Source organism: Homo sapiens, chromosome 14, assembly GCF_000001405.40.
Source record: "Homo sapiens chromosome 14, GRCh38.p14 Primary Assembly".
Taxonomy (NCBI): Eukaryota; Metazoa; Chordata; class Mammalia; order Primates; family Hominidae; genus Homo; species Homo sapiens.
This window is the reverse complement of record NC_000014.9, coordinates 105,393,805-105,414,109: the sequence shown is the minus strand read 5'-3', so window position 1 is coordinate 105,414,109 and position 20,305 is coordinate 105,393,805. Positions and strand designations below refer to the sequence as shown.

At 54.1% G+C, this 20,305-nt stretch overlaps 2 protein-coding genes across 18 annotated transcripts in view, besides 8 other annotated features; both read right to left on the bottom strand.

Moving 5' to 3' along the window:
* Nucleotides 1–250: 250 nt before the first annotated feature.
* Nucleotides 251–15,572, bottom strand: TEX22 (testis expressed 22). 2 transcript variants are annotated; one of them, XM_006720234.4, is made up of 4 exons: nt 15,285–15,572; nt 14,620–14,808; nt 2,614–2,742; nt 251–2,450 (listed from the first exon to the last, which is right to left on the bottom strand). In XM_006720234.4, the coding sequence occupies exons 2-4, from the start codon at nt 14,767–14,769 to the stop codon at nt 2,277–2,279; spliced, it is 453 nt and encodes a 150-aa protein (XP_006720297.1). In that variant the 5' UTR covers nt 14,770–14,808; nt 15,285–15,572; the 3' UTR covers nt 251–2,276. The 2 variants fall into 2 exon arrangements, with proteins under 2 accessions (XP_006720297.1, NP_001182011.1); NM_001195082.2 differs by having other exon boundaries at nt 15,475–15,572.
* Nucleotides 1,502–2,004: an enhancer, noted in NCBI's record as "H3K27ac-H3K4me1 hESC enhancer chr14:105878443-105878945 (GRCh37/hg19 assembly coordinates)". NCBI's record gives its function as "activates a minimal SCP1, AML or CMV promoter by ChIP-STARR-seq in naive H9 embryonic stem cells {active_cell/tissue: H9 hESC(naive)}" and the evidence as "EXISTENCE:reporter gene assay evidence [ECO:0000049][PMID:30033119]".
* Nucleotides 2,005–2,508: an enhancer, noted in NCBI's record as "H3K27ac-H3K4me1 hESC enhancer chr14:105877939-105878442 (GRCh37/hg19 assembly coordinates)". NCBI's record gives its function as "activates a minimal SCP1, AML or CMV promoter by ChIP-STARR-seq in naive H9 embryonic stem cells {active_cell/tissue: H9 hESC(naive)}" and the evidence as "EXISTENCE:reporter gene assay evidence [ECO:0000049][PMID:30033119]".
* Nucleotides 2,580–2,709: a silencer, noted in NCBI's record as "silent region_6233". NCBI's record gives its function as "represses an Ori minimal core promoter by ATAC-STARR-seq in GM12878 lymphoblastoid cells {active_cell/tissue: GM12878}" and the evidence as "EXISTENCE:reporter gene assay evidence [ECO:0000049][PMID:35858748]".
* Nucleotides 2,810–2,869: a silencer, noted in NCBI's record as "silent region_6232". NCBI's record gives its function as "represses an Ori minimal core promoter by ATAC-STARR-seq in GM12878 lymphoblastoid cells {active_cell/tissue: GM12878}" and the evidence as "EXISTENCE:reporter gene assay evidence [ECO:0000049][PMID:35858748]".
* Nucleotides 14,461–14,971: an enhancer, noted in NCBI's record as "H3K27ac-H3K4me1 hESC enhancer chr14:105865476-105865986 (GRCh37/hg19 assembly coordinates)". NCBI's record gives its function as "activates a minimal SCP1, AML or CMV promoter by ChIP-STARR-seq in naive H9 embryonic stem cells {active_cell/tissue: H9 hESC(naive)}" and the evidence as "EXISTENCE:reporter gene assay evidence [ECO:0000049][PMID:30033119]".
* Nucleotides 14,972–15,482: an enhancer, noted in NCBI's record as "H3K27ac-H3K4me1 hESC enhancer chr14:105864965-105865475 (GRCh37/hg19 assembly coordinates)". NCBI's record gives its function as "activates a minimal SCP1, AML or CMV promoter by ChIP-STARR-seq in naive H9 embryonic stem cells {active_cell/tissue: H9 hESC(naive)}" and the evidence as "EXISTENCE:reporter gene assay evidence [ECO:0000049][PMID:30033119]".
* Nucleotides 14,972–16,059: a biological region, named in NCBI's record as "H3K27ac-H3K4me1 hESC enhancer GRCh37_chr14:105864965-105865475".
* Nucleotides 15,150–16,059: a silencer, noted in NCBI's record as "silent region_6231". NCBI's record gives its function as "represses an Ori minimal core promoter by ATAC-STARR-seq in GM12878 lymphoblastoid cells {active_cell/tissue: GM12878}" and the evidence as "EXISTENCE:reporter gene assay evidence [ECO:0000049][PMID:35858748]".
* Nucleotides 15,963–20,305, bottom strand: part of PACS2 (phosphofurin acidic cluster sorting protein 2) — a 97,374-nt gene continuing 93,031 nt past the window's right edge. For all 16 annotated transcript variants that reach the window (XM_017021112.3, XM_017021111.3, NM_001243127.3 and 13 more), the window contains one exon: nt 15,963–19,556. In XM_017021112.3, coding sequence (XP_016876601.1) covers nt 19,438–19,556 — 119 coding nt within the window. In that variant the 3' untranslated portion in view covers nt 15,963–19,437. The remainder of the gene's footprint in view (nt 19,557–20,305) is intronic.

The window sequence follows — 20,305 nt, the reverse complement described above, 5'->3', positions numbered from 1 at the left end:
TGCTTGGGTCAAGGAGTTCAAGACCAGCCTGAGCAACATACCAAGACTGTTTCTCTATAAAAACTTACAAAAAAAAAAATAAAGGCCGGGTGTGGTGGGATGCACCTGCAGTCCCAGCTACCCAGGAGGCCAAAGTCGGGGGATCACTTGAGTCCAATAGTTCAAGACCAGCCTGGGCAACATAGCAAGCCTGCCCCCCGCTCCGCCCCAACCACCAAAAAAAGAAAAAAGAAAAAGAAACCAAACCTACTGAATTTGTGGCAATTTTTATGGCAGCTACAGAAAACTAGTACACAAATCCCAGTTGTGACAACCTAAGCGGTCTCCAGGCACTGCCCCTGTCCCGGCACCACCTCTGTTGGAGAGGCCTGTGCCTCTCAGTGCCAATACCCTGCTGCCAGCTGGCCCTGTGGCCACCTTACCCACCAGGAGACTGGCTCTGGGCCTCAGCCTGAAGGAGGCCAGGGTTTTGTCTCTGCTGCCACCATGGGGGAGGTGCTCTGTAGGGAGACCTCATGGAGCAGAGAGGGCAACCATCCCAGCATCACCAGCATCCTGGACCACCACGCTCTGACTGCAGCCTCAGGAGACACTCAAACGAGAGCAGGAGAGCTGGCAGGATGAGCCCAGCCAACCCCCAAGTCACAGAACAACGAGTGGTTCTTTAAAGCCACTCAGCAACAGAGGACTGCCCAGCTCATCACCCCCATGGCAACTGCTTACCTGTCAGCTCCGCTCTGCCCTGTTTACACCTGGGGATGCCTGCCTGGCATGCAGCTGGGCCCATAGGATCCCATTCCCCACATCATCATCAGGGGCCTCAGAGGGGGTGGGTCATGACCCAAAACTCCCCACACCCTTAAGGACAGTGCCCTGCCCAAAACTCCCCACACCCTTAAGGACACCTGCCCTAGCCCCTGGAGGATCTGCCCTCCATCCACCTACCCTAGGGCTCCTGAGAAATGCAGAGGATCCCTAGGGTGCACCAAATGACATTCAGAGGACTTGGGAGAGAAGGGGAGCACCTGGCTGTGTAATCTTGGAAGGCTTCCTGAAGGAGGAGGGAACTTCACTGAGTCTTACAGTAAGAAGGGGAGACAGGCAGGTGCAGAGGATTCAACTCGGGCCAGGGATCCTGTGTCAGGGCAGCAGGTGGCTGGCAGTGCAGTCAGGTGGCTTCTCAGCAGCGGGAAGGGGAGGGTTACAGGCCAGGTGGGCAGCACAGCCAGCATGTAGTGTATCTGGTGGTCCAGGCCACCGCACAGGTCCAGCTCCTGCCCTCACCTGGAGCCCAGGAGTGATCACCTCCGCTTGCCCCAAAGCCTCCTCCACCTAGCCACCTCCACAGAAGCCCAGTCAGGCCCCTAACAGTCAGTCACAGAGTTCAGGGCCCTTTCCCCACCCCCACCCACCCCGGGCTGGGAACCCATGCTCACAGCTCTCCTGCCCCGCCTCCCAATCCAGTCCCCCTGCAACTTAGTGTCCCCAAAATGCAGCTGGGACACGTTACCCCGGCTCAGCACCCTTCCGAGGGCCCTGCAGCCTGGAAACGAGGCAGTCACCCAGTGGACCATGTCCCACAGGCCCCTGCGGCAGCCAGCTCCTCACAGTTGCTCAGACCCCCTGCGCAGGATACCCTCTTGGCCCTCGTCCACCACCAGCATCGCTGTCCAGAGGCCAGGAGGCATCTCTGCCTCCAGACAGCCTCCCTCTGTGCTGGGCACTGCATTGGGTCCCTGGGCTTGCTGCTCCCCACCACAGCACCCCTGGGGTCCCGTGTGCCCTTCTGGGTCTTCAGAGGCAGGACCCAATGTGAGACCCCGCCCCCTGGAGAACTCTGCCTGGCCCATCTCACAGCCTGGTGCAGGCAGATACCCAGTTCCCCAGACCAGGCCAGCCAAGGAGCTGAGTCTCCAGGCAGCGCCTGCCACTGGGGCTTCCCAGGACACCAGTGCACCTCAGGCAGGCCCAGGTACCCCAGGCCTCCTCCCAGCGGCCCCGAGGGCAAGCTCCTGCTACCCAGGCCTTGCCAGGGCCCTCTCAGACTGACCCGGGGCAGTGTTCCCCTCCCCTAGATGGCCTCCCATAGCCCCTAGCCCGGTCTCCAAGGCCTCAGCAGCTGCAGGCTGTCCGGAGCCAGGTCCTGCCTGGCCTGTTTTCCTAACATGGGTGGGTGGTGACCCCCTGGTGGGGCACAAAGAAGGCGCAGAGGCTGCCCCCACCGTGGGCCCCCAAGGAAAGGCACTGGAAGACAGACAATGGGCTGAATGGGGCTCTTAGGAAGGGGGTGACCTCGAGGCCTCGAAAGTCGCATTATGCCAGAAAGGCGCACTGCGCGCCAGGAAGGCCTGGAAGGCGTTGGTGGACTCGGTGGACCTCAGCGGGTGGGGAAGGAGCACGTCCTTGTCCACGTCCTCCGACACCAGCTGGGCTACCATCTGCACGACGTCCTGCGGGCGAGGGTGGTCAGGGAGCCTCGAGGGGCGGGAAGGGGACAACGGCGGGGCCCGGGAGCGCCGGGGTAAAGGGCCCAGTGGGACTGAGTCGAGGGAGGCGAGGCGGAGGGGCGGGGCGGGGCGGGGACGGGGCGGGGAGGACCCGCCCCCCGCGCACCCTGCAGTGCAGCTGGGTCCCGGCGGCGCCCGGCCTCTCCCGGCCGCCCAGCGTGGCCAGCCGCCGGCGCTCGTCGATGCTGACGCTCCAGCGGCGGCCCGGGCGCCTGCGTTCCGGCGGCTCGCACACCTGGGGGACAGGGCAGCGGGTCGGCGAGGGCCTCGGCGCCAGCTCCCCTTCGCCGCTCCCACCCAGCACCCGCCGACCCTCAGAGCTCGCCCCCGGGCGCTTTCTAAAGCGCCGTCTGCTCAGCCTCCCGCTGCTCCAGCGCCAGCTCCCGGCGCGGGGCCTCAGGCAGTGTGGCCCTCTGTGGCTTTGCACAGTCATCTGTGCCAGGACACCGCCCAACCCAGTACCTGCCCCGCTTCATGTACAGCAGGGCTGCCTGTGGACCGCTTAGTCCTCACGGCCGGCCCCCGGCTTGACCGGCAGGAGAACCCCCGGAGCTCGAGCACTGATGCGTGCCTCAGGAAAGGCAGGACTAAGGCCAGCTCCAGACTGCCCTTCTCCCCAGACCCCTCTGAAATGATCATAAAGAGAGTTCGGGAGAAAATAAAGATCATGAATCCATAGACAAAAGACCAGCGCCAGTGGAGGAGGGCCCCTGGCAGGGTACAGGAGACTGGAGGGCAGGGACCACCAGCTGGAGAAGCTGTGGGAGGGCCACAGGGAAAGGCCAGAAGCAGGTGAGGTCCCCAGCACGACCTCTATCCCCCAAGAAGGAACTTCCCACGTGGGCTGCAGGAGACGGTTCCTCCAGACTCTGCTCAGCCTGAGGTTCACCATCCTCCACCTCCCTCACCAGGGGGAAGGGGAGAGGGGAGAGAAGGCAGTGCCATGCTAAGAGTGGGATTCATGCAAACCCGAAGTGAATTCTCATTCCTCAAAACATTAAAATCAGAATTGCATGGGATCCAGCAATTCCGCTTTGGGGTATGTACCCAAAAGAGTTGAAGGCAGGAAGGCAAACAGATGTGCGCACTCCAACACAGCAGTGGTCATTATTCACAATAGCGAAAATGTGGAAGGAATCCAGGTTTCCACAATGGATCAATGGATAAAGAAAATGTGGCAGATCCAGAAAATGGAATATTATTAAGCCTTAAAAAGTAAAAAGGCTGGCCGGGTGTGGTGGCTCATGCCTGTAATCCCAGCATTTTGGGAGGCCGAGGCGAGTAGATCACCTGAGGTCAGGAGTTCGAGACTAGCCTGACCAACGTGGAAAAACCCCATCTCTACTAAAAATACAAAATTAGCCAGGCGTGGTGGCACATGCCTGTAATCCCAGCTACTCAAGAGGCTGAGGCAGGAGAATCGCTTGAATCCGGGAGGTGGAGGTTGCACTGAGCCGAGATCACACCATTGTACTTCAGCCTGGGCAACAAGAGCAAAACTCCGTCTCAAACAAACAAACAAAAAAGGTAAGGAGGCTAGGCGCCATGGTTCACATCTGCAATCCCAGCAGTTTGGGAGCCCAAGGCAGGAGGATCGCTTGAGGCCAGGAATTCTAAACCAGCCTGTGAGACCCCATCTCTACAAAAGAAAAATTAAAAAATTAGCCAAGTTCAGTGGCACATGCCTGTAGTCCTTGCTACTGGGGAGGCTGAGGCAGAGATTGCTTGAGCCCAGGAGGCTGAGGCTGCAGTGAACTGTGATTTTGCCACTGCACTCCAGCCTGGGTGACAGAGTAAGACTCTGGAAAAAAAAAAAAGAGAGAGAGAAAGAAAAAGAAGGAAGGAAGGAGAAAGAGAGAAAAAGAACGAAAGAAAGAATGAATGAAAGAAAGAAAGGAAGGGAGAAAGAAACAGAAAATGTAAGAAAATCCTGGCTGGGCACAGTAGCTATAATCCAAGCACTTCAGGAGGCTGAGGAGGGAGGATCGCTCCATCCCCTTGAACTCCCCAGGAGTTCAAGGCCACAGTGAGCTAGGATTGCACCACTGCACTCCAGCCTGGGTGACAGTGCAAGACTCTGTCTCAAAAAAAAAAAAAAAAAGAAGAAGAAGAAGTCTTAATAGTCTAGGGCACCACCACACAGCAGCGCTGCAAGCTAGAAGGTGATGGACAAAGCCTTAAAATCCTGAAAGAAAATTATTTCCCACCTAGTATCTCACCCAACCAAGGTGTCATTCAAGCATACAGGCAGAATAAAGATATTTTCATATCTTTAGAGTCTCAAAAACTTTCACATCCTCTGAACCCTTTTGGAGGAAGCTGCTAGATGTACTCCACCAAAACAAAGGATAAACCAAGGAGAACAAGCTGGGGCCCAGGAAACAAGGGGTCCTGTAGACAGGAGGCAGGCGGATTGTAGGGGGAGGGGAGAGGGAGTGGGGAAGGCTACTCAGTGGCCCTGCCAGCTGGGCTGGTTGCTGGCAGTCCAGGGCTCCAGGAAGGCCACTGCCAAGGAGAAAACACAGCTCCAGACGACCCAATGTACAGGGGTCTGTGAGAGGAGAGTCCTAGATTTGTTGGAAGGTTTAGGAAAGAATAATCAGTTCGTAGAAGAGGGAGGAGGAGGAGGAGGAGCAGGAGGAGGGGGAGGGGGAGGAGGGGGGAACACAATGATTTCCTCCAGGGAAAACAGCACAAAGGCAACACGGCCATCCCACGGTCACGATGCCACATGGTCACTGTAAAGCTAACAGTGGAATTGGGTTTCTGCTGAGTAGACAGAATGCTGGTGGGAGGATGGGGAAGGGGCGCTACACCCTTCGTCTCTGCGGTGGGGCATGGACAGAATGCAAGACAGAGGAATGAAAAGGAGGCAGTGCGGCCGGGCACGGTGGCTCACGCCTGTAATCCCAGCATTTTGGGAGGCCGAGGCGGGCAGATCACCAGAGGTCAGGAGTTTGAGACCAGCCTGGTCAGCATGGCGAAACCCTGTTTCTACTAAAAATACAAAAATTAGCCCAGCATGGTGGCACGCACCTGTAATCCCAACTACTTGGGAAGCTAAGGCAGGAGAATTGCTTGAACCCAGGAGGCAGAGGTTGCAGTGAGCCAAGATCATGCCATTGCACTCCAGTCTGGGTGATGGAGCGAGACTCTGTCTCAAAAACAAAAAACAAACAAACAAAACACAAAAATTAGCTGGGTGTGGTGGTGGGTGCCTGTAGTCCCAGCTACTTGGGAGGCTGAGGCAGGAGAACCACTTGAACCCCGGAGGCGGAGGTTGCAGTGAGCCAAGATCACGCCACTGCACTCCAGCCTGGTGATAGAGTGAGACTCCGTTTCAAAAAAAAAAAAAAGGAAGAAAGAAAGAAAGAAAAGGAGGCAGCGCACCGGCAAAAGTGCACTTCTCACCTCAGCATGCGGTGGGACGTCTGCAAGGGCTGAGAGTGGCTTTGGGGACTGCTGTTCTAAATATATATGTTTTAACAAAAGTAATTTAAAATTTAAAAAAAATAAGATTTAAGTAATGAGTAATCCAACAGACACAGGAGAACATGCACAGAACTCTTTAACTCATAGAGAATCCATGTTCTTCCCAAACAAGCTCAACATGCACATGAATTGGCCACAAACAAAATAGACCCCAATGCAGATAGAGCCCCATAACACAGACAGACCCCCATGCAGACAGACCCCCATAACACAGATGGACCCCCATGCAGACAGACCCCCATAACACAGATGGACCCCCATGCAGACAGACCCCCATAACACAGGGTTCTGCAACTACAAAGTGACACAATTAGAAATTAATAGCAAAAGGATAACAAAACACTCCTGTTGATATGGACATTCCAAAACACCCTTCTAATTAAGTCCTGAGTGAAAAAGAAAATAAAGACTGAAATACCAATTTATTTAGAAAGAAACAATGGCAGAGTGCAGTGGCTCTCGTCTGTAATCCCAACACTTTGGGAGGCCTAGGCAGGATGGCTTGACCTCAGCAGAGAAGTTCGAGACCAGCCTGGGCAACATAGGGAGACCTCATCTCTACAAAAAATAATTAGCTGGGCATGGTGACGTGTACCTACAGTCCCAGCTATTCGGGAGGCTGAGATGGGAGGATCACTTGAGGCTAGGAGTTCAAGGCTGCAGTGAGCCGTCATGGTGCCACACGCTGCACTCTAGCCTAGACAACAAAGTGAGATCCCATCTCTAAAAAAATTTAAGAAACTGGCCGGGCATGGTGGCTCATGCCTGTAATCCCAGCACTTTGGGAAGCCAAGGTGGGTGAATGGCCTGAGCTCAGGAGTTCGAGACCAGCCTGAGCAACATGATGAAACCCCATGCCTACTAAAATATAAAAGATTAGCCAGGCATGGTGGTGTGCACCTGTAATCCCAGCTACTCAGGAGGCTGAGACAGGAGAATTGCTTGAACCCAAGAGGTGGAGGCTGCAGTGAGCCAAGATCACGCCACTGCACTCCAGCCTGGGTGACAGAGTGAGACTGTCTCAAAAAAAAAAAAAAAAAATTAAGAAATTAGCCAGACATGGTGGCTGAGAAACGAACGATGAAATCAGGACACACCAAAACGTGAGGTATGGTCAAAGCTGTGCTGCGAGAAGCTGGAGCTTTAAATACATCTTTAGAAAAAGGTCCCCAAACCATGACCGTGCAAATTATTTGAAAAGATACAAAAAGAACAGCAAAAGAAATGGTCTGAAAGCTTAAAGATGAAATTAGGAAAGATTAATGACTAAATTAAAATTTAAAAATGGTGAATAATGATCACAATGGGCTCTTTGAAAAACCAATAAAACAGACTTACTCTTTCCTTACATCCTCACCAACTCCACATAGATCCACCTTTATAATTTTTGCCAACTTTTTCACTGTTTCATTTAGTTCCTTTTTTTTTTTTTTAGGAACTGCAAGTACGTAGACTTAATTCATTTTTTTCCTCCTTTTTTTTAAAGATACAGGGTCTTGTTCTGCCTCCCGAGCAGCTGGGAGCCTACAGTGGCACGCCACCCGGGCTAATTTTTATTTTTTGCAGAGATAGGGTTTCACTATGCTGTCCAGACTGGTCTTGAACTCCTGGCCTTAAGTGATCCTCCTGCCTTGGCCTCCTGAAGTGCTGGGATTTACAGCAGTGAACCACTGTGCCTGGCCCACTTTTCTATCCAGTTTTAAAAATAGTTTCCTCATTGCTTTCAAGCATCTCTTCATAGATTCTGGTTGGTAAACATTTGAATGTTATAAATATTACAAGTATTTTCTTCCAGGCTGTCGTTTAACATTTTTGTGTCTTTGATTGCACAGAAATGTTTAAAAACTCTGTAGTTAGATTTGTCAGGCTTTTCCTTCAAGGATTTTGTGTTTGGCCTACGAAAGGCACTTATCACTTCCAGATCCCAAATATTCTCTCATATACTCTCTCAGTGCTCACATGGTTTGGGTTTAATGTTTTTTGTGTGTGCATTTTTTTGAGAGACGGACCCGCACTCTACCGTCTTCTAACTATACAGCCAATCACCCCAATACCACTTATTGAAAGGTCTGTTTCTCACTACTCTGAAATGCCATGCTCAACATAAATTAAATCCCCACATTTATGCACAGGTTGGTTTCCGGGTTACTTGTCCAGGCAGTGGTGTCTTTGCCACCTTCTGCCACAGGGCCACACAGTTTTAGTTGTTGGAGCTGGTGCGGACAAGCCAGGCCTTGCTCTTATTTTCCAAAATTGTTGTATGGTTCCTTTTCCAAGTAAACATTTTAAAACATCTTTATTTTTTCAAATTATACTTTAATGAATATTGGCAATATCTTGTTTACTTCTGCATGCTTTTGAACTCTGAACAAAGCCACATGGCATGAATAATTTTGTCACCTTTTTGCCTCTTTCACTCAGGAACAGGTCTATGAGACTCACGCTCACGGCTGCACGCAACAGGCGTCCACACAACCACATTCCCAAATCCGAGGTAAGTTTGCTGTTTGACAGAAAAATGCAATGTGAACTGATGCACGGCCGTTTGGTGTCCATCTTCACCCTGCGGTTGGAATATTCCTGTGCTTACCGCTGCACACGTTCACAACCCTACCGCTGAATTTGGTTGTTTTCAACCCACTCTGACAATGTCTGTCTTTTAACTGGAACACTTAGTCCGTTTTCATTGACTGAATTAAATGACGTACCGGCGATTCTATCTGCCATCGTATCTCCTTCTGTTCTTCTGCTGTAATATGTGAGGGCAGGCAAACTCATCTAACTCCAAAGATGACAAGCAACTCGATCTTTTTTTTTTTTTGAGTCAAGGTCTGGCTCTGTTGCCCAGGCTGGAGTGTGGTGGTGCAATCTCAGCTCACTGCAGTTTCCGCCTCACAGACACAAGTGATCCTCCTGCCTCAGCCTCCACGTAGCTGGCACTACAGGTACATGCCACCATGCCTGGCTAACTTTTTGTGATTTTTTTATAGAGATGGGGTTTTGCCATGTTGCCAGGCTGAGCTCAAGCAATCCTCCCACCTAGGCCTCCCAAAGTGCTGGGATTACAGGTGTGAGCCACCATGGCCCACCCCCCTCCTCTTCTCAGAGGAACTGAGAACACTTTAGTTCCACTCACAGGCACCATCTTGACATTTATGCCATTGCAGGTACATATATTGATTGTATCCTTGCTTTTCTGTGCATGAGTGACATCCAGTGACTGTCAGTTTCAGTTTACTCAGACACTTCCTACTTCCTCTCATGCTTTATCCATTTCAGACCTTTCATCACTTTCATGATGCTTTGAGATCATTTCTTCAGAACTGAGGTGAGAGTGTGCTGGGGGCAAATTCTCTTTTTTATCATTTAAAAACTTTACTTAGCCCTTTGTATAATCCATTTTTGCTGGGCCTGCTATTCCAGGCTGAGCATGGCTTCCCCTGAGCACAGGCATGCTACTGCTCTACTGTGACGAGCTCCCGTGGCTGCTTTGAAGGTTCTGTCTTCCCACTCAAATTGCTTCTGAGGTTTTTGTCGCTGGCATTCTACAATTTCACTATTATGCTTCTCAGTACATAATTTCTTAAAGCGTATAGACTAAATGACTGCCTGTGAGAGCTGTCCTCCAAGATGGCATCCAATGATCCTCACCTCCTGGTATCCATGCCCCTGTGTCGTCCCCTCTCACACTAAATAGGATGACCAGTGTATCCAAAACGGATACTGTAGAAAGAGAGGAGTGTGACTTCCAAGGTTAAGTCATGGAAGTCATTGCAGCTTTCAGCTCACTCTCTCCACTCACTCACTCTGGGGGAAGCCAGCCCCCATACTGAGGATACTGAAGCTGTCCTATGGGGAGATCCACGTGGTAAGGAGCTGAGCCTCCTGCCAGCCCCTATCATGGACTCGCCAGTCATGTGAGTGAGCTGCCGTGGAAGCAGTCTCCAGCCTTCCTCAAGCTTTGAGATGACTGAAGTGTTGACTGCTATCTCAACTATAAGCTCCTGAGAGATCTCAAACCAAAGCCACCAGCTAAGCAGCTCCCAAATTTCTGACCTACGGAAACTAAGATAAAAATACTTACTGTTTTAAGTTGCTAAGCTCTGGGGAAATTTGTCATGCAGCAATGGATAACCAATACATTGCCAAAGGCTGGGTATGGTGGCTCATGCCTGTGATCCCAGCTCTTAGGAAGGCCAGGAGTTAGAGACCAGCCTAGGTAACATAGTGAGACCCTGTCTGTAATTTTTTTTAAAAAGTAAACTAGTAATACATTTCCAGAATCACTATGTACATTTAAAATGAAATTTTCAAGATTCATGAAGTCTGTTTTTTTAAAAAACACTGAATTGTTTTTGGGAAGCTTGGCATGTTTAAAACGTTAAATCTGGCTGGGCGCAATGGCTCATGCCTATAATCCTAACACTTTGGGACCCCAAAGCTGGAGGATCACATGAGCCCAGTTCAAGACCACACCAGGCAACACAGTAAGACCCCATCTCTGCAAAAATTTTTTTAAAATTAGCTAGGCATGGTGGCATGCCACTGTGGTCCCAGCTACTTGGGAGGCTGAGGTGGGAGGATAGCTGGAGTCCAGGAGGTCCAGGCTGTAGTGAGCTGTGATTAGAGAAGCAGGAGTCTAGGAGAGCCAGGATAACATCATTTTATGTTCAACTCCACCTTGAGACTAATAGAGCACATTCCTTACAGGTCACAACCACGGACCTAAGATGTTTACAGCTAAGGAAGCAGCTTGGTAATGCCTACAAGGACAAACTCATAGAAAAGGAAGTTCAGATGTCCCAACACCCACAATAATATATGCTTTCAAGATAATTATAGTGATGCTTTAATGTACTTGCACACTAAAATGTAAAATAGTTTCCTTTTAATCAATAGAATAATAAATTGTTATGCTGTCAGCCCACCCACACGTAGGCACAGCTTGGTCTTTACATAGATAAGACCTCGATATAAGAAAAACTAAAAACAAAGTAGGTCTGTTCCTCTGCTTGCTTGTTGAGGATGCCCTGCTCTGCAGTGGAGCGGCTTTCAATAAATGATCTCTTCTCACTGCACTCTGCAGCTCGCCTCAAACTCCTTCCTGCATGAGATCCAAAAACCCTCTCTTGGGGTCCAGATGGAGATCCCTTTTCCAGTAACACTGTGATCATACCACTGTACTCCAGCCTGGTGACAGAGCAAGACCCTGTCTCAAAAACACACATATGAAATCTGCCCATCCAATATGATAACCATCTCCATCAGGAGCTCTACATGCTATTCAGTAACATTGTAAAGTGTTCTTCATGAAGGAATTGAACAACAGGTTTCTCTTTTTTTTTTTTTTTTTTTGAGACGGAGTCTCGCTCTGTCGCCCAGGCTGGAGTGCAGTAGCGCAATCTCGTCTCACTGCAAGCTCCGCCTCCCGGGTTCACGCCATTCTCCTGCCTCAGCCTCCCGAGTAGCTGGGACTACAGGCGCCCGCCACCACGCCCGGCTAATTTTTTTGTATTTTTTAGTAGAGACGGGGTTTCACCGTGTTAGCCAGGATGGTCTTGATCTCCAGACCTTGTGATCTGCCCGCCCCAGCCTCCCAAAGTGCTGGGATTACAGGCGTGAGCCACCACACCCGGCCAATAACAGGTTTATTTCTAAGAACTTCATAGTTCCTGTTGCTAAGTTGAATAGTATCCTTTGCTTCCATTCCATTTTCTGCTTTTTACTGTGTTGAAAAGTTGTGAATGGTGATCACATATCCAAACTCCCTCTTTTATCTGTACTCATGTTTCTTAAATTGGATTTTCCAAGTAGGTAACATATTAGATGCAAATAGTGATTGTCATCTTTTCAGATATTTACACATCTCATTTTCTTGATTTACTATAAGGGCTTCGGTTTCCAGAATACTGTTTATTTACTTTTTTGAGACAGTCTCCCTCTGTCGCCCAGGCTGGAGTGTGGTGGCGGAATCTCGGCTCACTGCATCCTCCAACTCCCAGGTTCAAGCAATTCTCCTGCCTCAGCCTCCCAAGTAGCTGGGATTATAGGCACCCACCACCATGCCCAGCTAGTTTTTGTATTTTTAATAGAGACGGGGTTTCATCCCATTTGCCAGGATGGTCTCCAACTCTCGACCTCAGGTGATCCGCCTGCCTCGGCCTCCTGAATTGTTGGGATTACAGGCATGAGCCACCGCACCTGGCGATTTTTCTGACGTCATAGTGGTACCATGCATCCATCTGCTTGCATCTGAAATACTTCCATTGGTGGCCACTGCAAGCTCTTGAGAGCTCCCCTCCGTCAGGCTATGGAGATGTCCATCTCTTCCCATCTTATCCAGAACCTACAGGTTTCTATACTTCGGTTTTTTTTAAATTATACTTTTAAGTTCTAGGGTACATGTGCACAACATGCAGGTTTGTTACATATGTATCCATGTGCCATGTTGGTGTGCTGCACCCATTAACTCGTCATTTAGCATTAGGTGTATCTCCTAATGCTATCCCTCCCCCCTCCCCCCACCCCACAAGAGTCCCCGGTGTGTGATGTTCCCCTTCCTGTGTCCAAGTGTTGTCATTGTTCAATTCCCACCTATGAGTGAGAACATGCAGCATCTGGTTTTTTGTCCTTGCGATAGTTTGCTGAGAATGATGGTTTCCAGCTTCATCCATGTCCCTACAAAGGACATGAACTCATCCTTTTTTATGGCTGCGACTTCTTTTGTTCTTAAGGAAAGATACTGGAATTTATTAGTATTACTTTTCAACATCTATTGAGATAATCATGTGATTTTCCACCTGTTGTTACTGAACTTTATTTACAGATTTCAAAATTCCTTTGTCCTTGGGTTACAATCTTCTTTTATTTACATACAACTTCATTTATTCCATATACATTCATTGAGCACCTACTATGTGCCAGACACTGTCCTAAGCACTGGGACAGAGCTGTGAAGAGACATGTGCCTGCTCTCCTGGCAGGCGGAAGTGTGCAGGACCCATCCTTACGGCTATGAAATTCTGCATTTCAGGTGCTCCTGGATTTGGTCTAGTACTTACTCAGGATTTTTCAATCTATGCCCACAGGTAGACTGGCACATCATTTTCTCTTTTTCCTTTTCTCCCTCTGTTCTCTTCTGGCACTGGTATTGGGTGATACCAGGTCCATATCAGAAGTGGCTCTGGGCAGGTGAAGCTTCATCAATGAGGATGACTAATTTCTTGTTTGGGAGTGCCCACCTATAAAGTCATCTGGGCACCCACATTTTTTAGGGAAGATTCCCTGTCCCCAAACTAAAAACCTGCCCGTCAGCAGAGATGCACCCATACCTCTTTCCACCCTTGGCCAACAACCTAATTCTCCCACTGCTCGCCTGCCCTTGGAGGCCTTCAGCCCACTCTTCTGCCTCCCAGCCTTGTCCTCAACCACCATTACCCATAGCCACCAGTCCATCTCTTGGAACTACAAATACAGCCTGGCTGCCCCTGCCCAAGAGCCACTGGGTCCCTGTGTCCTTGCTGGATATGGGTCCAATACACACTCCTCCTGCATCCACATCCCTACCCCTTCAGACATAGTGCCCTGTCCCCAGCCCTGTGCAGGACAGAAGCCTCACACCCCCTGGCCCTCCTCCTGAGCGGCCCTCACTAGACAGGTGACCTATGTGTATTTATAGTCCGGATTGCCTGTCATGAGATGTTCGCCTCCCAAAAGCCACTGCATCTGCTGGTTTGGTCACCCCACTCCCCAGCACCTGACACCATCATAGGGGTTTTGAAAGCATTTGGGCCTGAAGGACATGACTGAGAGGGTACAAAGGGGCCTCAGCGGGCAGCCCTGGGAACACACGCAGACACGCCTGTGTGCATGGCTCAATGAGCTCCCCACACTGAACTGGCCGCATGACCAGCGCCAGCTGCCAAAGCATTGCCAGTGCCCAGGAGCCCCTGCACCCATCTCGCCACAGCCTAGAGCCATCTCTCAGCCTGGCTTTGAACCTTCCAAAAGTGGAACCACACGAGTGGGGTTCTGGCTTCCTCTGCCCTCAGAGAACGTCCTAAGGCTGAACAGCTATATCCCACCATTCTCACTACTGGGCCTGACACAAGCCTGTAGCTCACTGTCCAGCAGTAGAGAGACCAGGAGATGCTTCCAGTTTGGGGAATCACAGCAGAGCCTCTCCCACTATTTTGTTTTGGTCAACTTTCAGTGACAAATCCTTCTCCTGACAGCTGCCCCACCTGGTTGGGAGGACACCACCCCCCCTGGGGACCTTGCTTTCCCTCCCGCTTCTTGCCACCTTCAGCCTGGGGTGGGAGGCACTGGGGAGAGCTAAGGGAAGTGTGTTGCCTTGCCTCCTTCCTGGCCTTGGAAGACCTCTCTACAGAGCCCAGCGGCCCACGGTTCTGGAAGCAAGAAGGGTGCAGGTCCACCTTGGTGCTCGTCCAGGGCCATGGGGAAGAGAGCCTCCTGAGTCCAGCCATCTGTTTCTCATCAGTCCCCACTCAGCCCTCCCCTGAGGCTGCTCATCACGACCAGCCTGGAGTTTTCAGAGACAGCGGCCTCAGGCGGGCTGGGGACAGGAGAGTAGCCTCGGCCAGGGTTTCCTTCCGCTTACCCAGTCCTGAGTCTGCAGTCCCTGCTGAACGCTGCTCTGGATACTGGGCTGGCCCCAGGCTGCTATCAGGCCCAGTGGGGGCCGCCTGTGCTCTTGGGAGAGGTGCGACTCCAGCTTCTTCCCCCGGGGGGACAGTTTCCTGCTGTCCATCTCTAGCCCTAGTAGGCTGCTTGTCCACACCTCTGAGATCTGGGGGTAGGAGCAGGGGGAGGTGGGGCGGGGCCCACAAGGCCACCCACGTGCCCACCAATACCTGAGTCCCTGGGGGCAGATGGTGGCAGTATCGCGGTCTGCTAGGGTCACCTTCCAGCCAAAGGTCAGGCATCACTGACCCCTCTGGGTGGAGTGGATCCCCCAGCTCCCGCCGCAGCTCTTCTCCACACCAGCCTCCCGAACTGTCCTCTCTGCCCCTGCCGACCCCACCCCGGGAGCCTGGAAAGCCTTCGGCAGCCTGCTGCACGGACTCCACGCCTCTGCCAGCCTTCTCAAACGTTCCAGGGGCATCAGCCCTCAGCCAGCACTGCGGGCACGCTCTCAGGGCCCGGCCTTGCTACGCCCGGGGCGAAGGAAAGGCCCAGAGCTCTTGCCACAGCCCCGCTTCCGACCCTGAGACCTCCCCTCCACGCGGCCCAGGCCTCGCCCCAGGCCCAGCCCGGAGCCCTTACGTGCCCGCCCTCTCCGGTGGGGAGGCGGGGTCTGCGCGGCCGGGGTCCGCGGAGGGACGGGGGAAGAAGGCTCAGGACACACGCTGGAGGCCGTGGGCACTCTGGGGTTCGGCGGGGGGGCGGGGTACACGGGAACGGCGGTCGGAGGTGGGGGGTACGTGGGCACCCGGAGACAGAAGGAGGGACAGACCCGCCGCGGATGGAGAGGCCACAGGGGGCCGCTGGAGTACACCGCGGCTTGAGGGGGCCCAAGGGGCCGGCGCCTCGCTCCAGAACGTCCGCTACGGCAAGCCCCGCCCCCACCGGTTCCGCTTCCGGTCTGCGCCGCGCCTGCGTTCTGGGCTCCGTTGCGGCGGGTGGGGGATGGGCGCGGTCTGGGGGTCCCCGGCGCATATCCGGGTCTATGGCCGCTACCGCCCCACGGGCCCTTCCGGGCGTCGGCCTCCGGGGTCTCCCGAAGCACAGACCTGAACTTGGGGTTTGTCGGCCAGAGCCCCTTTCGGCCCTGCGCCCTTCAAGCGGCGCGATGCCGCTGAGCCCCGGGCCACCTCCGCGCGCGCGGGGCCGCAGGGCTGGGGCGGGGCGACCCAGGACGGGGCGCGCGGGCGGGAGGGAGGCGCTGCTCCGCCGCGTGCTCCCAAGGGGTGGACGGCCGAGAGAATCACACTGCAGGCGGGGGCCGGCCCCTCCAGGTTTATTAGTGTTGCATCAGCACCTTGAAATAGTCCACACGGTCACATACGTGACATTAGAATCCGTTCCCCAAAAAGCTATTTACATTAATCCAGGGTTTCATTAAAAAAAACTAGCAACACATACATCCTAGAAACCAAACAATGCACAATGAACCGCATGGGGGTCTGCAGAAACTACAGTGGTGCTTCTTTGGCCCACAGGGTCAGATTCCAGAGGTGCCCAGCAAGCCCAGCTCTCAGTCCCCTACAGGCCACACACCCGCGGACGGCAGGACAGGTCTCGGGGAGGGGGCGGCCTGGCCCTCGGAAGAAGTGGCCTGGTCATTTTCATGAGGAATTCATTCCCGGAGGAAGGCGAGAGGCACTCAGGTCTTTCCATCTGGGAATGAGGACAGTGTGGCAAGGCTGCCAGTACCCTGCAGAGACACCCCCAGCTCTCACCCAGAGGCCCCTCTCCTGCCCCAGCTCTGGCCGAGGCACTGAACCAGGACACTGGCTTGCATGCCCAGAGACAGTGGCCAAGGGGACCAACATGGAAGAGGAAGGCAGCAGACCAGATTGCAGGGCGGGACTGGCCCACAGCTGGCCTGGGTGAGGGTGGGGTCTGTCTACGTAATAGTGGACAGTGGCCACCAGGCCTGAGGGGTGCCTCGGTGGTGACTGGTGGCTTAACCTTTGAGACTGATGGGGCTGAGCCCTAGCTCTACAAGGGGCTGCCTCCTGTCCTGTGAGGCCAGTCCAGGGCCAGGTTCTCGGGGGGTGTGCACACCTCACACACACATCCCCCGCCCTTACCGCACTGGCTGTCAGATGGCTTTGGTTTCTAGTTGTCCTTGGTGGGACAGAGTGCTCCTCCATGCACCCTCAGAACAGCTCTGTGAGGTAGGCAGGGAAAATGCGACCATCCTGTGTAACCAGTGGGAAAACCGAGGCACAGAGGGCTGGCATGGCCCAGGTCTTGTCTGCCCAACCTCCCTGGTGCTGGGCATGGTGTGGGGGATGGACCGTGGGGCTCCTGGGTGCAGGGCAGACCCACAGCCCAGCAGCAGCAGGGGCACAGGGAGTGCCACCAGAACCCCCAGCTGCTGGATGGAGACTCTGCCCATGTTCTCCCCTTGCGTGGCTAAGGATGGAGCTGTGCAGCCAGATGGGAGGTACGGGGTAGGCAGGAGGGCTCCAGGAAAGGGGCTGCCCACAGCCAGGATGCACTAGGCAGCCTGTGGCCCCTTCCTCTAAAACCTGCTCTGAGGCCAGAAAGCCACAGCAAGGATGTTTCCACCTTCATCTCCCTACTGAGTGTGACCCTTGGGAAAGAAACAGGAAGAGCAGGCAGGACGCGGTGACTCACGCCTGTAATCCCAGCACTTTGGGAGGCCGAGGCGGGTGGATCACTTGAGGTCAGGAGTTCAAGACCAGCCTGGCCAACATGGCAAAACCCCATCTCTACTAAAAATACAAAAAAAATAGCCAGGTGTGGTGGCACACGCCTGTAATCCCAGCTACTCGGGAGGCTGAGGCAGGAGAACTGCTTGAACCTGGGAGACGGAGGCTGCAGTGAGCTGAGATCATGCCACTGCACTCCAGCCTGGGCAACAGAGCAAGACTCCATCTCAAAAAAAAAAAAAAAAAAAAAGAAAAGAAACTGGAGAGCAGAAAAACAGATGCTCTGCAGCCCAGCTTGGGGGCAGCTGAACGAGTCAGTCAGGGTCCCACCTGTTGCCGGGGTCAGAGGCCATCAGCCCGGGGCTCACACCCTCACCGCAGACACTTCTCGGGGCAGAGCCTGAAGCCAGGATTCAATGGGAGACCTTCCTACCCTCTCCCCCACCCTGGGGTGTGCCCCAGGCTCCTGGTCCCAGGTGAAGGAGGAGTCCCTGGTGTGGAGGGGCTCTGGCTGGGAGGGGCTGGGGCTCTGCCTCCTGCACACAGGCTACCTCTGAGGCCTGAACCCAGGGAGCTGAGGCTGCACACCAGGCCACATCCTGGCCCCTCACCACAACAAAATCACCCTGTTCAGCCACCTGGGGGGGGCGGCCAGGAAGAGCAGGGCGGTCACAAGTAAGAAATGTGGGCCATCTCTCAGGCCAGCAAGGGTGGAGACCCCTCCAGCCCCGGCTCGAGGCCCACCCTGCCCTGCGTTTGCTTTCTGAGCATGGCCTTTTGCAGTGCTCCATCTTACGAAACCAGGCCAAGAGCCCCCAGGGTCGATCAGGACCCCTGGGAGGGCCCCAGCTTCCCCAGCTCCTCCTATGGAGACCCCACAGTGCAGGCTTACTGGGGAGAAGCAGGACTGAGGGGGCAGGTGTGGTCAGGGAAGCCCTCTCCTGCTGTGTGGAGGGCATGGAACCCACACACAACATGGGACCCAACACGCTCTGAGGACTGTGGCCTGGAGAGCCTCCCAGGCCCTGCACGGGGTACCTGGCTGCACCCACGGCTCCAAAGTGCCGGCCCCGCTGGTCAGGCCATCCCGCTGGAATCTTCATTGGCTACAGCGTTGCAGCAGGTGACACAAACACATCTGGACGCCTGCCCCATATTCACCAAAACCTGAATCTCAACCCAGATATCCCCATGGCTGACCTCAGACATACCCACTGGGGTGGAGGAAGTGGCCCCCACCTCAGGCCAACCCCAGCAGCATCTCACTATGTACCAAGCTGGGCTCTGGAACATTTTCTGGGGCCACCTGGGCTGTGGAGGCCCCTGTGCTTGCTAAGTTTGGGGCAGGGACTACACGCAGAAGCCTCATGGTGTTTCAAGAACAGCCTGAGAGTGGGGAAGGTGTGAGGCGGGGTGGGGCAGGGGCTGGGGAAGTGGGGGCAGGCTCTGCTGGCTCTGCCCAGCCCCAGGGGGACTTCAGAAGAGCAACATGTTTGGCAGCTACATTAGAACATGTATTGAAAAGCATTAAAAATATCTGCTGCTATAAAACCTCCGCCGCAGGCAGGAGTTTATTGGGAACCACGAGTGTGCGGTGCTGGGGGCATCTCTTAGGCGGGCAGGACGGCCCCCCCAGGCTCAACTCAGGACAACCCCAACGGGACTGAGCGGCCCCATGGCCCTCGGCCTGTGGCCACTGAGCTCCGCCTTCCCCGGGCTCCCTGAGGAAGCAGAGTCCTGACTTCCAGGAAGGACAGGACACAGAGGCAAGAACTCAGCCTGTGAGGCTCTGGGTGGCTCCTGAGGCCAGAGGACGCCTTCCGCGATCCATGGCTCAGCATCGTCCTTCTGGCTTCCCAGCCCCGGGCCGAACGTTCGGGTTAATAAGCAGAGCAGTTATTCGGCTCCTGGCAGGAGCTCCCCCGTTAGTTTCCACGTTGTGAGCACATTCATACTTAAGACTGTTTCTCTTTGTGTTTTAAGCGTCTGTCTCTGTAGTAAACTGAAATGTTAACAGAAATGCAGCTGGGCCCCTCACAGCATGGGGCAGGAGGTGGGCCCCCTGGTGGGTGGGGCTAGAAGGTGGCCTTGGAGTGTCCGAAGATGCAGATGGGGAAGTGCTTCACGTGCGAGGACCACTGCGCGGCCAGCTGGAAGAACTTGACGTCGCTGCACTCCACGCCGTCGATGAGGACTGTGGGAGAGGGCTGCCTGACCGCCTGCCCCCCTGCCCGGCCTGCCCACCCTATCCACCTGCCTGCCTGGCCCACCAGGCTGGGTGGCAGCCGGGCGTACAGGATGAGAAGGAGCCCCATGCTGGAGGGCATCAACACTTTCCTCAGGGACTCGGGGGCTCCAGGGCCATGCTGGCTCCTGAGGGACGCCATTCCTGCCCCTGCCCTCCACACTCAGAGCCCTGGGGGGTGGGGAGGGCAGCATTTCCCCCAGGGCTGCCTGCAGGTGGAAGGAGCAGACCCCACCACCTTCCGCCAGGCGCTGCTCGTCCACATCCACTTCCACCTGCACAGGTGTGGGAAGAAGACAGTGGGAGCCCCCTTAAAACAGAGACCCCTGTGGGGAGACAGGGCCACGTCGACCTGGAGGTCATCTGACCCGTGCTCAAAAAGAGGAAAGCCTCCCAGAGCTCCGTTTCTGAAACAGTTACTTGCAGAGTATCTTCTCCAAAACCCCTTTTTTTTTTTTTTTTTTTGAGGCGGAGTCTTGCTCTGTCACCCAGGCTGGAGTGCAGTGGCGCAATCTCGGCTCACTGCAAGCTCCGCCACCCGGGTTCACGCCATTCTCCTGCCTCAGCCTCTGCGCTCAGCCAACACTTTTAAACTACAAGCCATTATTTTTAGGCCAGGTGCGGTGGCTCGCGCCCATAATCCCAGCACTTTGGGAGGCCGAGGCAGGCAGATCACCTGAGGTCAGGAGTTTGAGACC